The 19,397-nt window shown below is 42.1% G+C and overlaps 1 protein-coding gene, 1 long non-coding RNA gene and 1 pseudogene across 11 annotated transcripts in view, besides 2 other annotated features; 2 read left to right on the top strand and 1 right to left on the bottom strand.

Moving 5' to 3' along the window:
• Positions 1 to 2,213, bottom strand: part of UNC13B (unc-13 homolog B) — a 243,327-nt gene extending 241,114 nt beyond the window's left edge. For all 9 annotated transcript variants that reach the window (NR_170667.1, NM_001387551.1, NM_001371189.2 and 6 more), the window contains exon 1: positions 1,917 to 2,213. Coding sequence is in view for 8 of the 9 variants with exons in the window: in NM_001387551.1 (NP_001374480.1) it covers positions 1,917 to 1,938 (22 nt within the window). In the remaining variant the exon portion in view is untranslated. The remainder of the gene's footprint in view (positions 1 to 1,916) is intronic.
• Positions 2,218 to 2,347: a silencer, noted in NCBI's record as "silent region_19863". NCBI's record gives its function as "represses an Ori minimal core promoter by ATAC-STARR-seq in GM12878 lymphoblastoid cells {active_cell/tissue: GM12878}" and the evidence as "EXISTENCE:reporter gene assay evidence [ECO:0000049][PMID:35858748]".
• Positions 5,854 to 6,407: an enhancer, noted in NCBI's record as "OCT4-NANOG hESC enhancer chr9:35157812-35158365 (GRCh37/hg19 assembly coordinates)". NCBI's record gives its function as "activates a minimal SCP1, AML or CMV promoter by ChIP-STARR-seq in primed H9 embryonic stem cells {active_cell/tissue: H9 hESC(primed)}" and the evidence as "EXISTENCE:reporter gene assay evidence [ECO:0000049][PMID:30033119]".
• On the top strand, positions 7,788 to 12,961 carry LOC124902147 (uncharacterized). Of its 2 annotated transcripts, none has more exons than XR_007061469.1 (2): positions 7,788 to 8,126; positions 12,623 to 12,961. It is a non-coding gene; the product is annotated as an uncharacterized LOC124902147 (long non-coding RNA). The 2 variants fall into 2 exon arrangements; XR_007061468.1 differs by having other exon boundaries at positions 12,619 to 12,961.
• On the top strand, positions 14,924 to 18,790 carry LOC730110 (zinc finger protein 492 pseudogene; annotated as a pseudogene).

Below are 19,397 nucleotides of genomic sequence, written 5' to 3'. Positions count from 1 at the left end.
AACACAGTGAAACTCTGTCTCTACAAAAAATACAAAAATTAGCCGGGCCTGGTGGTTCACTCCTGTAATTCCAGCTGCTCGGGAGGCTGAGGCATGAGAATCACTTGAACCCAGGAGGTGGAGGTTGCAGTGAGCCAAGATCGCAGCACTGCACTCCAGCCTGGGTGACAGAATGAGACTCTGTCTCAAAAAAAGAAAAAGAAATAAAAATAAAGATGTATTTCAATTCATTTCTGTAAGTTTTCCCAAAATGAATACTTTGCCATTCAATATGAATATCTGCATATAAGGTACCTGTTTGTTTCAGTATTTAAAATCTTCTAGATCTCTATTCAAAAAGACAATGGCCTGCTGATCTCGTTTCTCCAGATTCAAAAAAGAAGAAACTTCACTAAAGTAACATTAAAAAGGAAAGAAGTTAGCTAAATAGCAGAATTTCTAGACAATGAAACCTGCCTGCTATTAAAACAAATGAAAACACCAGTAGTTATATAAATTCAGTTAAATAGGAATTTCTGATTCACGAGTGCTCCTGCCTAAAGAGTCTTTCATAAGGACCAGCTCTGTAATACAGTGTGGCCGTAGAGAATTAAACTGTCCAAGAGACACAGCAAAGTCCAACCTCTCCCAAATCCTGCTACTCAGCAGCAGGGATCTAAAGGAATAAATAGATTCCCAGCTGCTGAGAGAAAATGTCTTACTAAAAGCAAAGCAAAATTCTCATTAATGAAAAATCAACCATGAAAGAAGAAAAACTGTATATCTCATAATCCCGGGAAATGGCCAAATCCATTTTGGTTAATGCAGATTCAACAAAATAGTGGAAGAGAACAGAGCAAAGCAGTTTCATCTGCCAGTAGCTGGGGGAAACATCGTTATTGGAGAAATCACAAACAACAACAATGCTTCTAATCTGTAGAGCCAAAAGAAATATGAACTCTCCAGTAAAAGATATCAGGTAAAGGCTCTAGTTGATAAATGCTCTCTCATTCATAATCAAGACACATCAGATATGATAGGCTGTAACCTGAATTTCCCGAGATCAAATTCAATGGCTAATCCAAACCCTGTGTTTTCCTGATCAGATAATCTCTCTGAAGTCACAGTACTTGCATTCATTCAAAACCAGCATTAAGCTTCTACTACGTCAGACACCAGGAATACAAAAACTAATAAGAAACAGTCTCTACCCACATAGAACTTAGTTCGCGTACCATGCCTCATCTTAAACCCCAAAGCTCTTGCTTTAAGATATCTTCTTAGATGGGTCAAGTGTCCTCAGGGGAAAAGCAATAATGGCCCTTCACCTTGAGTTACTGTGAGGCAAGCTAAAATAAAAATAAAAATAAATCATACCTCTTATCCTCAAAAGCAGTCACCACATCCTCCCAAGTGGAACAGAAGAATAATCTTAGCCTATACTACCGGTTAGTGTTCAGGGAAGTGGCAGGGGACAAGACAAGCAATAGAAGGGATGTGACAGCTGTACCACTAACGCATTCAAAGTGTGATAAAAAGAACCTGCTACTAAGCATACTGTAGCGTTACGGTGCGAGGAGGAGGAAAAGAATGAGAGGCTGCCCACCATTCACAGGCACCAACCATCCGCGGTCTTCTAACTCGTCCACTCTCACTAGAGAACCCCAGTCACTGTTTAATAGGATCTGAGCCTGCAGTCCAACAACATTGTCACATGGCTACCAGAATGGAGAGCTAATCGTCCCTTGCAGGAGCTTGGGGGAAAACAAGAAAGTGGAAAGAACTCAAGTGATTGTTAAGTGATTGCCAAAATAATAGACCCCCAAAGCACGGACGGGATGTAAAGTTTGGGTGAGACGGTCACCGGACGTCCACTGGAAGGGTGCGGGGACCTCTACGCCGACACCCCGCCTCCCCGCCTCAGTCCGCGCACTCACCGCGCACGCAGAGCAGTGACATGGCCGAGGATCGGGCAAGCCTCTGCCGCGCCCCAGCCGCGCCGGACCGCTCCCTCTTTCCTCTCAGCAGGTGCCGCGACTGCTCTCGTTACCGGCCCCACGGGTCTGGCAGCTCCTCATGGTCCCGGTCGCAGGTAGCGTCCCGCCGCTGCCTCGGACCCGCCCCAAATCTCACCGTCTGAGCGAACTCCGGGTAGCGGTGAGTACCGGCCGGCAGGCTGGGGACTGGGCGCGGCACAGCGACGCCATCGCTGGGAGGTAGGAGCTGCCGGGACTCCCTCCCGTCATTCCACCCGGGATCCGCGCGAGCGCCTGGGCGGAGCCAACCCGTGGTGCCCCGCCCCCCAGCCAATTAACTCACGCCCAGTCCACCGACCCCGCCCCCCCCCGCGAGCACGTAGGAGGCGGGGTCCCCTTCCTCCTTTCTTTCTTGCGATCCTGAAGGAAGCTCCGCCCACTAATCAGGCTTACTGCAGGGAGCAAGGGGTTGACCCTCAGTTGTGTGACGCGAGAATGGAAGCCCTCTGTTCCTCCTGCATGAGCGGGGCTTCCACCCAAGAACAGATTCTTTTCATTGAAGGATTTCCACTGGACTTTCTTAGAGTCTAGCGGTCATAGCTGACAGCCTGTAATTTTAAGTTAACGAAGTCGCACCGCACAGCAAAGTTAAGTTTTGTTTAGCAACTAGGGCAAAAGACAAAACTGAGTGGGCATAAAGTATGTCTGGAGACCTCAGTTCTTATCTAGACCGTTTTTTATGCTCATCATTGTATCTCCAATGTCTGGAATAGTGCCTAGTGTATGGTAATCAGTCCGTAAATATTTACTGAATGAAGGATGGTAACCACGGAGGGATTGTGAGTGGAGATACCTCTGATCTTTGACAAATCTCCTATCCATGCTTGGTACCAACATGAGCTAACTCCATGGCTCAAACCAACAGGACAATTTGCTAAGGTCTAGGAGCACCCCCTCCAGAGAATCCCTGATCTCCCAAAATTTGGTCGAGATCTAAAGTTCATTTTGTTGTACAACTCCCTCTATTATTATTATTATTATTATTATTATTATTATTATTTTGGAGTTTTACTTGCTTCCAACAAGGAAGGCAAGTTTTCCTGCTTCCATGACGAGGGAAGGCAGGTAACTCTTTTATGGAGTTTGAGCTCACTTCCAACAGGGAAGATGAGGGGTTTTTTTCCTACTTCTGGGATGGTAGACAGCCGTTTTCAGCCTGAGACGCACCCCTAGGTAAGTAGCTGAATAGGGATTTTTGTCTTGGCTAAAGTTAACAACCAGCTGGTCTTAATTTCTGCTTACCATTAGAGTGCTCAGTGATCATATTGTTGGGTTTTTTTTTATTTTGTTTGTCTTTTTCCCATTGACCAACTCTACTTCACTTGGTCAAATCCAAGTGAGAATTCCAAATTATGGGTAACAAGGCCTATCTAATTTGAGTAAAATTCCTCACAGCTGCAAAAGAAAAAACAAACAGAAAACAAAAAACCATGTATTTGGTTTCTGTGTTTGCTTCCTGGTCTTAAAAATTAAACTGTTCTTAGGCCGGGCGCGGTGGCTCACACCTGTAATCCTAGCACTTTGGGAGGCCGAGGCGGGCGGATCACGAGGTCAGGAGTTCAAGGCCAGCCTGGCCAACATAGTGAAACCCTGTCTCTACTGAAAATACAAAAAAAATTAGCCGGGCATGGTGGCGGGTGCCTGTAATCCCAGCTACTCGGGAGGCTGAGGCAGGAGAATTGCTTGAACCAGGAGGCGCAGGTTGCAGTGAGTGGAGATCGAGCCATTGCACTCCAGCCTGAGCTACAGTGTGAGACTCTGTCTCAAATTAAAAAAAAAAAAAAAAAAAATTCAATTGTTCTTTTGTTTACTTTTCTTCCACCCTATACCTCCTTCACCCTTTGCCATCTGCATTACCAAAAAATCGAGAGAAGGCTTCTAATGACTTGAACCTCTTTAAAGAATTTAGGCCGGGCGCCATGGTTCACGCCTGTAATCCCAGCACTTTGGGAGGCCGAGGTGGGCGGATCACGAGGTCAGGAGTTCGAGACTCAGCCTCGCCAACATGATGAAACCCTGTCTCGACTAAAGATACAAAAAAAGTTAGCCAGGCATGGTGGCACGTGCCTGTAATCCCAGCTACTCAGGAGGCAGAGGCAGGAGAATCACTTGAACCTGGGAGGCGGAGGTTGCAGTGAGCTGAGATCGTGCCATTGCACTCCAGCCTGGGTGACAGGGCAAGACTCTATCTCAAAAAAAAAAAAAGAATTTAGAACAAAGGTGCCACTCACCCCCTTTTGGGGTGTTCTCTTGGCTTTGTGGGATTTCAAGAGTCATGGGCAGATTCTTCTTAGGTCTAAAGCTCTGTTTTCCTGTATTGCATGACCTGACCTTTTTGGCTTTGGGTGCCAGAGATGACCTTGCACTGTGAGAGGATTTGACCTTGGTGTGTATATTGTTGGAAAAGAGCTACAAAGTTACGGGTGGCTGAGCACAGTTTATAGGAAGTGGTTTTGGCTGTTTCCTTTTTTTTTTTTTTTTTTTTTTTTAATTTTCTCTCCTAGGAAGTCGTTGTTTAAGAATCCTAATTCTAGGCCAGGTGCGGTGGTTCACACCTGTAATCCCAGCACTTTGGGAGGCTGAGGCGGGCGGACCACTTGACCCCACAAGTTCAAGATTAGCCGGGCCTGGTGGTGTGCACCTGTAATCCCAGCTATTCGAAGGCTGAGGTAGGGCAATTGCTTGAACCAGGGAGGTGGAAGTTGCACTGTGCCGAGATCGTGCCACTGCACTCAGCCTGGGCGACAGAGCGAGACTCCATCTCAAAAAAAAAAAAAAATCCTAATTCTAGTTTGGAGATCCGTTCTGAAGGATCCTTTATATTGCTTTTTCTCCCAACATTAATCTCAATTCCGTTTGTCTGTGTGCATTTGCATGAGGAACTGAACTGTTGCTTTCATAGGTATATCAGAGACTGAGTTTTCTCAGCTCCAAAAAGAAAGGGCATTTGCCCCTCCCAACTGAAAGGTGCCCCTGAGTGACTGGGGACCTTGTGGGAGTGTCTGAAAGGTTGACCCCGAACGATGTGCAGTGGTCCTGCAGGGAAATCCCCAACAAAAATTAATTTAGGCCAGGTGCGGTCACACACACATAATCCTAGCATTTCAGGAGGCCGAGGCAGGCAGATCACTTGAGGTCATGAGTTCAAGACCAAGCCTGACAAACATAGCAAAACCGCATCTCTACTAATAATACAAAAATTAGCCAGGTGTAGTGGTGCGTGCCTGTAACCCCAGTTGCTTAGGAGACTGAGACGTAAGAATTGCCCGAACCCAGAAAGTGGAGGTTGCAGTGAACCAAGATTATGCCACTGCACTCCAGCCGGGGCAACAGAGTAAGACCTTGTCTCAAAAAAATATATATATATATATTTAATTTAAAAACTGGCTCATCCAGGAAACACATTGAAGGGCTGATCACCCAGTGTTGTGAGCCCTCTCAGAAGTCATAAACCTCTGGAGAGAGAAACTGAGACATGTAAGAGGGTGGAAACCATTCAGTGGTGGCACATTGTGGAGTCCTGCCCACAAGCAGCACGTGATGATCCACCACACAGAAACTCTAAGCCACAGCTCAGTTTCTCCTTTTAAGAAAAAAAGAAGTGGAAAACAAATAATCTAAGAATGAGAAGAAAACAAGGAGAATGACCCTCTTTTGAGCACTCTGTAGGTTTTATGGCACCTCTACTGCCAAAGTTTATGTAAAATGGAAAAAATATGGTCTTTGTGCACATTTACATTAAGAAAAAAGAGCCCTAAGGTCGACCTACTAATTATAGAGTTCCTAAGACCTCTTTTCTCTATTCTTTTCTGCCTGCTCTAAATCTGCCATTATTTTCTGTTAAGATAAAAACCACAGTTTAGATCCAACAAGTTCTTTTTGCAAACCGGTAAATTTGAATTTATCTCATAGCTAAAAGTTCTGAAGTAAAAGCTATAGGATGTGTGTGTGTGTGTATTTAAAAGGCTTTTATAATTTCTATAATTTTATGTTTAATTGGCCATTAAATCTGTTTCAATTTCCGTCTAGCACACCAGACTTTTTCTCTCCACACTTTATAATGTAAATTTTGCTGTTTGGAGTTCACCTGAGTTGTTTTCTTTAATATGCAAATTTAAGGCTATTTAGCTGACAACTGCCTAGGGTTGTGAAACAGGTTATCAAGAATCTGAAAGTAGCGGGGAGGGAGGAGGGGAAAAAAAGAATCTGAAAGCCTAAGGAAAAAAAACGTTTTTTATGAATCTATAAGAGGTACCTCTAGGCCAGGTGCAGTGGTTCACGCCTGTAATCCCAACACTCTGGGAGGCCGAGGTGGGCAGATCACCTAAGGTCAAGAGTTCGAGACCAGCCTGGACAACATGGTGAAACCTGTCTCTACTAAAAATACAAAAATAGCCAGGCGTGGTGGCACATGCCTGTAGTCCCAGCTACTCGGGAGGCCGAAGCAGAAGTATCACTTGAACCCAGCGGGTAGAAGTTGCAGTGAGCTGAGATCATGCCATTGCACTCCAGCCTGGGTGACAAGAGAAAAACTCTGTCTCAAAAAAAAAAAAAAAAAGATGTACCTCTATCAGCATGCCTAATGTGTCTATGTATTTATGTGTTGTGTACACAATGTTTCACTACTGAAAATATATAAAAGAGCTCTAATTAATTGGCGTAAGAAAATAAAAGTGCTTAAATCAAACACTTATTCAGGAAAAAATAAAATAGTCAAATGCTTTTTCAAGTTTACATAACTTAAGTAAAATCTTTACTAATGTTGATGAAAAAAATCAAACTCTGTAAAATATTTGAAGAGATTTATTCTAAGCCAAATATGAGTAACCATGGCCCATGACACAGCCCTCAGGAGGTCTTGAGAACATGAGCCCCAGGTAGTTGGGGTGCAGCTTGGTTTTATAAATTTTTGGGAGGCATGAGACATCAATCAAATACATTTAAGAAATACATTGGTTTGGTCCAGAAAGACGGAACAACTCAAAGGGGGGCTTCCAGACTATAGGTAAATTTAAACATTTTCTGGTTGAAAATTGGTTGAGTTTGTCTAAAGACCAGGGATCATAGAAAGGAAATATTTAGGTTAAGAAAAAACACTGTGGAGACCAAGGTTCTTTTGAAGTCTTATAGTGGCTGCCCTTAGAGAAAATAGATGACAAATATTTCCAATTCAGATCTTCAAAGGGTGCTAGACTTTTAGTTAATCTCTTTAGGATTGAGAGGGCCTGAAAGAAAAAGATTTAGCTATGTTAATAGAGATTCTTTATATATGCACATTTTACCCCACAAAGGACAGCTTTGCAGGCCATTTCAATAGATGGCAAAGAAACATGATTTAAGGTAAAATATTTTGTTTTGCTTCCTTGTCTCATAATGTTATGCCACAGTCAGGTTGGAAAGTAAGTCACAATATATAGGGTTAAGTAAAAACCATCTAATAATTTATTATTTGTAGCGCATGACTCCCCAGACCCCTTACACAGGAATTTGAGCAAGATATAAAATCAGAATTTAGTCCTCACTGAGCTAGGTTTAAAATTATTGTTACATTAATGTTAGAAATGTCTTAGGAATTGCCAGCATACATTTTTGTTTGTGTCAGGCCTCTGAGCCCAAGCCTGCACCTATACATCCAGAAGACCTGAGGAAGCTGAAGAACCACGAAAGAAGTGAAAATGGCCAGTTCCTGCCTTAACTGATGACATTAACTTGTGAAATTCCTTCTCCTGGACAATGAGTCTCAAAAGCTCCCCCACTGAGCACCTTGTGACCCCCACCCCTGCCCGCAAGAGGACAACCCCCTTTGACTGTAATTTTCCACTACCTACCCAAATCCTATAAAATTGCCCCAACCCTAACTCCCTTTGCTAACTCTCTTTTCCGACTCACCCCGCCTGCACCCAGGTGATTAAAAAGCTTTATTGCTCACACAAAGCCTGTTTGGTGGTCTCTTCACACGGACGCACTTGACATTTGGTGCCGAAGACCCAGGACAGGGAGACTCCTTCGGAAGACAGGTCCCCTGTCCTCACCATCACTCCATGAGGAGATCCACCTAAGACCTCGGGTCCTCAGACCAGCTCAAGGAATACCTTACCAACTTCAAATCGGGTAAGCGGTCTTTTCACTCTCTTCTCTAGCCTCTCTTGCTACCCTTCAATCTCCCTGTCCTTCCAATTCCAGTTCATTTTCCTCTCTAGTAGAGACAAAGGAGACACATTTTATCTGTGGACCCAAAACACCAGCGCTGGTCACGGACTTGAGAAAACAGACTTCCCTTGGTGTTTGATCATTGTGGGGATGCCTGCCCTGATCATTCACCCACATTCCATTGGTGTCTGATCACCGTGGGGACGCCTGCCTTGGTCATTCACCTACATTCCCTTAGTGGCAAGTCAATTGCAGGGATGCCTGCTTTGGCTGCTCATCCACATTGTAGTCCAGGGCTGCTCACCACCCCCCTACTTCTCCGTGTCTCTACCTTTCTATGGGCAACATTCCGCCCTCCATTCCCCCTTCTCCCTTAGCCTGTGTTCTCAAGAACTTAAAACCTCTTCAATTCGCACCTGACCTAAAAACCTAAATGCCTTATTTTCTTCTGCAATACCACTTTGCCCCAATACAAACTCAACAATGGTTCTAAATGGCCAGAAAACAGCACTTTCGATTTCTCCATCCTACAAGATCTAGATAGTTTTTGTTGTAAAATTAGGCAAATGGTCTGAGGTGCCTGACATCCAGGCATTCTTTTACACATCGGTCCCTCCCTAGTCTCTGCTCCCAGTGCGACTCATCCCAAATCTTTCTTTCTCTCCTGTCTGTTCCTTCAGTCTCCACCCCAAGCTAAGTCCTTTAAATCCTCTTCTACGGACCCATCTGACCTCTCCCCTCCTCTCCCCTCCTCCCAGGTGGCTCCTCGCCAGGCTGAGCCAGGTCCCAATTCTTCTTCAGCCTCTGTTCCCTGACCCTATAATCCTTCTATCACCTCCCCTTCTGACGCCCAGTCCAGCTCACAGTTTTGTTCCGCGACTAGCCCTCCCCGACCTGCCCAACAATTTCCTCTTAGAGGGGTGGCTGGAGCTGAAGTCATAGTCAAGGTTAATGCTCCTTTTTCTTAGCTGACCTCTCCCAAATCAGTTAGCATTTAGGCTGTTTTTCATCAGATATAAAAACCCAGCCCAGTTCATGGCCCGTTTGGCAAAATCCCTTAGACGCTTTATTGCCCTAGACCCAGAGGGTCCAGAAGGCCGTCTTATTCTCAATATGCATTTTATTACCCCATCCACTCCCGACATTAGAAAAAGCTCCAAAAATTATATTCCGGCCCTCAAACCCCACAACAGAACTTAATTAACCTTGCCTTCAAGGTGTACAATGATAGAAAAGAGTTGCAATTACTTGCCTCCACTGTGAGAGAAACCCCAGCCACATCTCCAGCACACAAGAACTTCAAAATGCCTAAACTGCAGAGGCCAGGCCTTACTATAGGACCTCTTCCCTCAGGATCTTGCTTCAAGTGTCGGAAATCTGGCCACGGGGCCAAGGAATGCCCACAGCCCGGGATTCCTCCTAAGCCGTGTCCCATCTGTATGAGACCCCATTGGAAATCGGACTGTCCAACTTGCCCGGCAGCCACTCCCACAGCCCCTGGAACTCTGGCCCAAGGCTTTCTGACTGACTCCTTCCTAGATCTTCTTAGCCTAGCGGCTGAAGACTGAAACTGCCCAATTGCCTCATAAGCCTCCTGGACCATCACAGACACTTTGGGTAACTCTTACAGTGGAGGGTAACTCTGTCCACTTCTTAATCAATACAGAGGCTACCCACTCCACATTACCTTCTTTTCAAGGGGCTGTTTCCCTTGCCTCCATAACTGTTGCAGGTATTGACGGCCAGGCTTCTAAACCTCTTAAAACTCCCCAACTCTGGTGCCAACTTGGACAATATTCTTTCATGCACTCTTTAGTTATCCCCACCTGCCCAGCTCCCTTATTAGGTTGAGACGTTTTAACTAAATTATCTGCTTCCCTGACTATTCCTAGGCTACAGCCATACCTCATTGCTGCCCTTTTCCCCAGTTCAAAGCCTCTTTTGCTTTCACTTGGACTGACCCTGACACCCATCAGACTCAGCAACTTACCTGGGCTGTACTGTGCAAGGCTTCATTGACAGCCCCCATTACTTCAGTCAAGCCATTTCTCATGATATGCTTTCTTTCCATCCATCTGCTTCTCACCTTATTGAACATTATGACAACCTTCTACGTTATAGCCCCTCCTACACATCTTCCAAACAGGACACTCTCTTGCTCTTCCAACATCTGTTCACGAAAGGACATCGCACATTCCCCTCCAAAGCCCAAATTTCTTCCTCATTCCTTACCTGTCTTGACATAATTCTTCATAAAAACACATGTGTTCTCCCTGCTGATCGTGTCCAGCTAATCTCCCAAACTCCAACCCCTTCTACAAAGCAACAACTCCTTTCCTTCCTAGGCATGGTTAGGTACTTTCGCCTTTGGATACCTAGTTTTACCATCTTGACTAAACCATTATATAAACTCACAAAAGAAAACCTAGCTGACCCCATAGATCCTAAATCCTTTCCCCACTACTCTTTCCATTCCTTAAAAACAGCCCTAGAAGCTACTCCCACACTAGCTCTCCCTAACTCATCCCAACACTTTTTCATTACACACAGCCGAAGTGCAGGGCTGTGTAGTTGGAATTCTTTTTTTTTTTTTTTTTTTTTTTGAGACAGAGTCTCAGTGTCTCACAGGGTGGTGTGCAATGGCACAATCTTGGCTCACTGCAAGCTCCACCCCCTGGGTTTATGCCATTCTCCTGCCTCAGCCTCCCAAGTAGCTGGGACTACAGGCGCCCGCCACCACACCCAGCTAATTTTTTTTTTTTTTTTTGTATTTTTAGTGGAGACAGGGTTTCACCATGTTCACCAGGATGGTCTCGATCTCCTGACTTCGTGATCCACCTGCCTCGGCCTTCCAAAGTACTGGGATTACATGCGTGAGCCACCACACCTGGCCACGGTTGGAATTCTTACACAAGGACCGGCACCGCGCCCTGTAGCTCCTCTATCACTCCCAACTATTCTTCTTCTGAAAACCTGCTCTACCAGATTTCATAATTTTTATTTTACTCTGTGGAAAGTTCATTCTTCCTGCCTCACAAGCCCAGTCTATTCTCTCTTCCCTTCATGACCATTTCCATGTAGGATATAAGCTTCTGGCTCACCTCCTACAGCCCCTCATTTCCTTCCCATCATGGAAATCCATCCTTAAAACCATCACTTCTCAATGCTCTGCCTGCCATGCCACCAGCCCCTAAGATTTTCTCAGGCCTCCTCCTTTTCCTACACATCAGGCTCGTGGATTTACTCCAACACAAGATTGGCAGGTTGACTTTACTCATATGCCCTGTGTTCGTTGGACAGCCAGCCTGATCTCTCCTCTTCCTCCTAGAAGTTGCAAGTACTCTCCCCTACTTCCTTTAAACACACTTGCATTTCTGAAGAACAGTAATAACCCTTATGAGCCTAATACATCCCTTCATTCTATTAGGTCTATTCATCCTTACCCTACTTTTTGCAACAGGGCTTTAGGCAGTCACCCCCACTACTTGGACTGTACCCCAAAAACTTGTCATCCCTACTATCTTCTATCTAGTCATACTCCTATTCACCATTCTCAACTACTCATAAATGCCCTGCTCTTGTTTACACTGCTGGTTTACACTGTTTCTCCAAGCCATCACAGCTGATATCTCCTGGTGCTATCCCCAAACCACCACTCTTGACTCCCTCTTGGAGTTGTTAGATGATCTTTGCTGGCAGGGCACCCTCCAATACTTTCACCCTGATGAAGTTCTATTCTTTACTTTTATACTCACTCTTATTCTCATTCCCATTCTTATGCCACCCTTTACCTCTCCCCAGCTATCTCCACCACACTATCAATCTCACTGTCTCTCTCCTAGCCATTTCTAATCCTTCTTTAACAAACAATTGCTGGCTTTGCATTTCTCTTTCCTCTAAAACCACTGAGGCCTCGACTTACTCACTGCTGAAAAAGGGGGACTTTTCATATTTCTAAATGAAGAATGTTGTTTTTACCTAAATCAATCTGGCCTAGTACCTGACAACATAAAAAAAAAAAAAAACCCTCAAGGATAGAGCCCAAAACTCACCAACCAAGCAAATAATCACGCTGAACCCCCTTGGGCACTCTCTAATTGGATGTCCTGGGTCCTCCCAATTGTTAGTCCTTTAATACCTGTTTTTCTCCTTCTCTTATTTGGACCTTGTGTCTTCCGTTTAATTTCTCAATTCATACCAAACCACATCCAGGCCATCACCAATCATTCTATACGACAAATGCTGATTCTAACAACCCCATGATATCACCCCTTACCCCAAAATCTTTCTTCAGTTTAATTTCTCCTACTCTAGGTTCCTACACCGCCCATAATCCCACTCAAAGCAGCCCTGAGAAACATCGCCCATTTTCCCTCCATACCACTCCCAAAAATTTTCACCACCCTAACACTTCACCACTGTTTTGTTTTGTTTTACTTATTAATATAAAAAGACAGGATTGTCAGGCCTCTGAGCCCAAGCCTGCACCTGTACATCCAGATGGACTGAGGAAACTGCAGAACCACAAAAGAAGTGAAAATGGCCAGTTCCTGACTTAACTGATGACATTACCTTGTGAAATTCCTTCTCCTGGACAATGAGTCTCAGAAGTTCCCCACTGAGCACCTTGTGACCCCCACCCCTGCCCGCAAGAGAACAACCCCCTTTGAGTGTAATTTTCCACTACCTACCCAACTCCTATAAAACTGCCCCACCCCTAACTCCCTTTGCTGTCTCTTTTTCTGACTCAGCCCACCTGCACCCAGGTGATTAAACAGTTTTTTTGCTCACACAAAGCCTGTCTGGTGATCTCTTCACACTGACACACTTGACAGTTTGCATTTATTAATCAAGGAATTTCAGACTTATCCCTGCCAAATACTGTAAGGTGTCAAAATTTGGCATAGGGTTTACAAAACTATAAACCTAGCCCAAAATGGAATAATCTTTGCTTCTGTGGCAAGGCACGGTGGCTCACACCTGCAATCACAGCACTTGGGGAGGCTGAGGTAGGTGGATCACCTGAGGTCAGGAGTTTGAGACTGGCCTGGCCAGTATAGCAAAACTCCATCTCTACTCAAAATACAAAAATTAGCCAGGCTTGGTAGCAGGTGCCTGTAATCCCAGCTACTTGGGAAGCTGAGGTAGGAGAATCTCTTGAACCCAGGAGGCAGATATTGCAGTCAGTTGAGATTGAGACTGAGCAGTGCTCGTAGAGCTGGAGCCCTGGCTCTGCAGCTGTGGTTTGGGCAGCTGCAGCAGACCAGGGAGCTCCCATCCCAACTCAGAAGGTCAGGACTTCCACCGGCTCCATGGAGTGTGTAGCCCCAGCCGTGCTTCCCTGCTGCAGCCAGCATGATGGCAGCAGCCACTGCCATCATTCCCCCCTCTGAAGAGGTATATCTAACTGCTGTTAGTATAGGGATGATGGCCACTGTTAACTGCTTCATGCTGAGAAGGGAAGTTGTTTTGGGAAAATGACAGTTTTCTCTCTCAGAGGCCTATCTAAGGGTCCCCAGTACAAAGGAGCCAATGTCCGAGTCTCCATTTTTATGACCATTTGGAGTTTGACGACCCATCCCTTGTTTCTTCTGAGCTGCAGTCTGAGGTCACTGGTTGGTTCACCCTACAATTGTTAAAAGCTACAAATAGCTCAAAAGAAAAACTTCCTTGATTATGAAAAACAGAACATAAGAATCAGCAGTGTTCCAAGCAAAAAGCAAAAGTCAAAAAAGATTAGTCTTCCATTAGTACAGTTCACCCAGTCAACTCCCGATCACAATCTCCAAAGTTACCAGAAACCTGCACTCAAGGGTTATAATCCACCCTTTAAAGAGGATCACACAAAACAATTGTCTATGACTGTCAAAATATCCTGGGTAATTACAGTCAAAAAACACAATTGACAAAAAAAAATTGGTCATCTCTGTGATTTATAATAATCTAACACAATAACCCTAATTATGATTGATAACACAAACTGAGACATCAGAACTCTAGAAATCCCATACAATAATGGAACATGCATTAACATTTTTCACTAAAATATAACCTGAAGATCAACCACCACCTTATTTCAACAATCCTATGTAACTAAACATGTCAAATAATCCTGTTTACCTCTCCTCTGGATGCTCCAGGAGCCCTCTGTTGCATCCAAAAGTCAGGGGTTAGGAGAGACAATTTTGAAGCTATAAAGGCTTAAAACACTTAATAGAAGTTTGGGTTGCCATAAGTCATCCATTTAAATGACTCAATTATTTTTTTAAAGCAAAAATCTTCACTCATCAAGTGTGAAGATGTAGTTTTCCAAACAATCTGTCCCTTGTCCTTCCCCTATTTTTTCGATAGTTTATTCATGAGGCAAACAGAAATCTTTTTCAAGAGAGAGAAAGCCAAATTTCAAATTTCACCCTTGCAATACTCTACTTTTTTTTTTTTTTTTTTTTTGAGATGGGGTCTCGCTCCATCACCAGGCTAGAGTGCAATGGCCTGATCTCGGCTCACTGCAACCTCCACCTCCCAGGTTCAAGCAATTCTCCTACCTCAGCCTCCCTAGTAGCTGGGACTACAGGCACTTGCCACCATGCCCAGCTAATTTTTGTATTTTTAGTAGAGAGGGGTTTCACCATGTTGTCCAGGATGGTCTCAATCTCTTGACCTCCCGATCCACCTGCCTTGGCCTCCCAAAGTGCTGGAATTACAGCCATGAGCCACTGTGCCTGGCCTACAAATTTTTGTTAAAGAGCATGTCAGTGAGTCTTCACTGTTCTGCGTCCTCTGCTCCTAGAGGCCCATCCTCTGTGGCCCTGTGACCTGCAGGTATTGGGAGATCCACAGCTGAGACGCTAGGACCCCCTGGAAGCCTAGAAATGGGAGTGTTGACATTTAGGGATGTGGCCATAGAATTCTCTCTGGAGGAGTGGCATTGTCTGGACACTGCACAGCAGAATTTATATAGGAATGTGATGTTAGAGAACTACAGAAACCTGGTCTTCCTGGGTATTGCTGCCTCTAAGCCAGACCTGATCACCTGTCTGGAGCAAGGAAAAGAACCTTGGAATGTGAAGAGACATGAGATGGTAGCTGAACCCCCAGTTGTATGTTCTTATTTTGCCCAAGACCTTTGGCCAAACCAGGGCATAAAAAATTGTTTCCAAAAAGTGATACTGAGAAGATATAAAAAATGTGGACATGAAAATTTACAGTTAGGAAAATACCGTAAAAGCATGGATGAGTGTAAGGTGCATGAAGAATGTTGCAATGGATTTAACCAGTGTTCGAGAACTACCCAGAGCAAAATATTACAATGTGACAAATATGTGAAAGTCTTTCATAAATTTTCAAATTCAAACAGATATAAGATAAGACATACTGGAAAGAAACCTTTCAAATGTAAAGAATGCGAAAAGTCATTTTTCATGCTTTCACACTCAGCTCAACATAAAAGAATTCATAGTGGAGAGAAACCCTACAAATGTAAAGAATGTGGGAAAGCCTATAATGAGGCCTCAAACCTTTCTACACATAAAAGAATTCATACTGGAAAGAAACCCTACAAATGCGAAGATTGTGGAAAAGCCTTTAACTGGCTTTCACATCTTACTACACAAAAAATAATTCATACCGGAAAGAAACCCTACAAATGTGAGGACTGTGGCAAAGCTTTTAACCAATCTGCAAACCTTACTACACATAAGAGAATTCATACTGGAGAGAAACCCTACAAATGTGAAGAATGTGGCAAAGCTTTTAGCCAGTCCTCAACCCTCACTACACATAAGATAATTCATGCTGGAGAGAAACCCTACAAATGTGAAGAATGTGGCAAATCTTTTAACCAATCCTCAGTACTACACATAAGATAATTCATACTGGAGAGAAATTCTACAAATGTGAAGAACGTGGCAAAGCCTTTAGCCAGTTCTCACACCTTACTACACGTAAGAGAATTCATTCTGGAGAGAAACCCTACAAATGTGAAGAATGTGGCAAAGCTTTTAAACAATCCTCAACCCTTACTACACATAAGAGAATTCATTCTGGAGAGAAATTCTACAAATGTGAAGTATGTAGCAAAGCCTTTAGCCGGTTCTCACACCTTACTACACATAAGAGAATTCATACTGGAGAGAAGCCCTACAAATGTGAAGAATGTGGCAAAGCTTTTAACCTATCCTCACACCTTACTACACATAAGATAATTCATACTGGAGAGAAACCCTACAAATGTGAAGAATGTGGCAAAGCTTTTAACCAGTCCTCAACTCTTTCTAAACACAAGGTTATTCATACTGGAGAGAAACCCTACAAATGTGGAGAATGTGGCAAAGCCTTTAACCAGTCCTCACACCTTACTACACATAAGATAATTCATACTGGTGAGAAACCCTACAAGTGCGAAGAATGTGGCAAAGCCTTTAACAACTCCTCTATTCTTAACAGACATAAGATGATTCATACGGGAGAGAAACTCTACAAACTTGAAAGTTGTAACAATGCTTGTGACAACATCTCAAACATTTCCAAACATAAAAGAAATTGTGCTGGTGAGAAAACATAGAAATATGAATAATGTGACAAAGCCTTTAAATGGTTATCACACTTGCTTGTAGGTAAGGTAATTCATACTGGAGAAAACTTCTACAAGTGTGAACAGTGTGGCAAGACTTAAACAATGCTCACACCTTATTGCACAGGAAACCCTTTATACTTGAGAACAAATGTACAAATATAAAGAAAGTAAAAAAGTGATTAATATCTGCGCACATCTTATTCAACATCAGAGAGTTTATACTTAATAGCATTAAAAGTGCAATTACTGTCAAAAGACTCTTGAGAAAATGTAAGCCTTTAAAGTGCTGAAGAGGATTTATTTTGAAGACAAACATTACAAATATAAAGACAGTTTTAGTAACTTTACTTGTAACACAGATCTTGTTGTATTCACTTTGTACTAGAGGCAAACCCTGAAGCAATTACTCAAACTTTGTTCAACATCAGAGAATTTATATCGAAGAAAAACCCTGTAAATGTAATAAATTTAGAAAAAAACATTTATTCAAAAACTACAGGTTAGAAAACTCCAGAGAGTTCATAGTAAAATATATTTTTGCATATGCAGTAAATAGGAAAAAAAATTTAATCCAAAATTAAGTCTATGTAAATATCAGAGAATTTACATTAGAAATATATAAGGCACTGACACTTCAGATTTTACACTAAATCAGAGTTCTGAGTTTAGAAAATAATCCAAAACTAAAGTTGGTAGAAAAATTATTTGTATATAGCTTTAAAAGGGTAGAAGATTTTTTGGAGAGTTATAATTACATTACAAGTATACTTTTTTTGGAAAGCTTACAGATTTTTAAAAAAGTAATGTAATTAACTCTCAAATTACTTCATGTAAATAATGTTGTAATTAACTCAAATTACTTCATGCTAAATAAATTAATTAATTTCATTTTTTTTTTCTTTTAAGACAGAACCCCACTCTGTCGCCCAGGCTGGAGTGCAGTGGTGCTTTCTCGGCTCACTGCAACCTCCGTCTCCAGTGTTCAAGTGATTCTCCTGCCTCAGCCTCCTGAGTAGCTGGGATTACAGGCACACACCACCACACCCAGCTAAGTTTTATATTTTTAGTAGAGCTGGGGTTTTGCCATGTTGGCCAGGCGGGTCTCAAACTCGTGACCTCAGGTGATCCACCCAGCTTGGCCTCCCAAAATGCTGGGATTATAGGTGTTAGCCACTGGGCCCAGCCCATGCTGTTTCTCTATTCCTATTATATTCATCTGTGAAAGCGTATGACCAATTGTTGCTGCATCAAAGATATGAGAGGTTTTTTTTTTAGGTGAGTATTTATGACCTCTTCTATGAAAGAGTAATGACATTAAAATGTAAGATGCATGATGAAAATCTTAAGAGGTTCTTTGTGGTTCACTTACAGTATTGAGTGATGCATGAGGTAGGTATTCAGAGTAATATTCTGCATTATATTGAGACAAATATTTTTAGTTTTAGTTAAAATTAAAATAAGATATTATTTTACTAATTGTACTTTTATGAAACAAAATGCAATACATGTTAAAAATTTTATATTATGTGTGAAAATTTCTTAATTCAACATTTTTAACATGTTAAATATTGTGCATTCAATCAAGTCACATTATTCCACTTAATTTAACCTAGTCCACCTTACTTAAGGGTGTAGGTAAAAGATGGTAACAGTACACTATTTGGTAAAATAATGGACTAACGTCTCTAGTAATCTTTTTTGCCAGTGGCTTTAAACTGCAAATAAGTTAAGGAATATTGTTTCTGTAGGTAAAATTTTTATTTTTTTCCCATTTAAATTTACTTTTGTTAATGTTTTTTTGAGGGCACATAATATTTATGTTATATATGGCATATTCTGATAGAGAGGCATACAATATATAATTTATACTAATAATCACATTAGGATAAATGATGTATCCATCACCTCTAGAATTTATTTTTTGTATAATGAACAATTCAGTTCTACAGTTTTAGATAATTTCAAATGTATAATTAAATTGTTATTGACTACAGGTTTATTTTTATAATAATAAAAATTATATTCAAGTATAAACAAAATTTACACATTTTTGAGTCCTGAATAAATACTTTTAAAAATAAATAAATAAATAAATAATAAAGAGCATGTCAGTGCTTCAAGAAAACCATGTGCTTTTATTCCAGTGTTCAATTTATGGAGAAACCAAATAATACCCCTTTGAATTTAGTCAATGTGTTCACATACAAGATTCCTTTTACAAGATTAATTTTTATAAACCTTCTATAACTTGTTTGAACTTTTAGCTTTATCTTATCTAACTTAAACAATTCTTTAACCCTTTAAACTAGGCAAAAATTTACGTTCGCATGCCTTCTTATATTTTTTTACTAAAGACACATGTTACTTTGCTTATGCCTTGCATGAAAATCTATTTTCAGTAGTCTCCATTACATATTATAATGGTAGACAAATATAAAATCTAGAAAAAATGTATGCTGACAATTTTGAAGGACTTCTCTAATTTATGAGCTCTCTTTTACTTATATGCTTATAAGTGTACATACAAATAAACACACCTAGACCTGTATTTACACACACAAACTAAGATCCAATAGCTTAGTTTGGATCCATGGAACCCTAGCCATGAGATAGCAATACAAGCTCACAAGTTTTACTTTGTTTGCCCTCGTAGATAA

This window comes from Homo sapiens, chromosome 9 (assembly GCF_000001405.40).
Source record: "Homo sapiens chromosome 9, GRCh38.p14 Primary Assembly".
Taxonomy (NCBI): Eukaryota; Metazoa; Chordata; class Mammalia; order Primates; family Hominidae; genus Homo; species Homo sapiens.
This window is presented reverse-complemented; position numbering and strand designations above follow the sequence as displayed.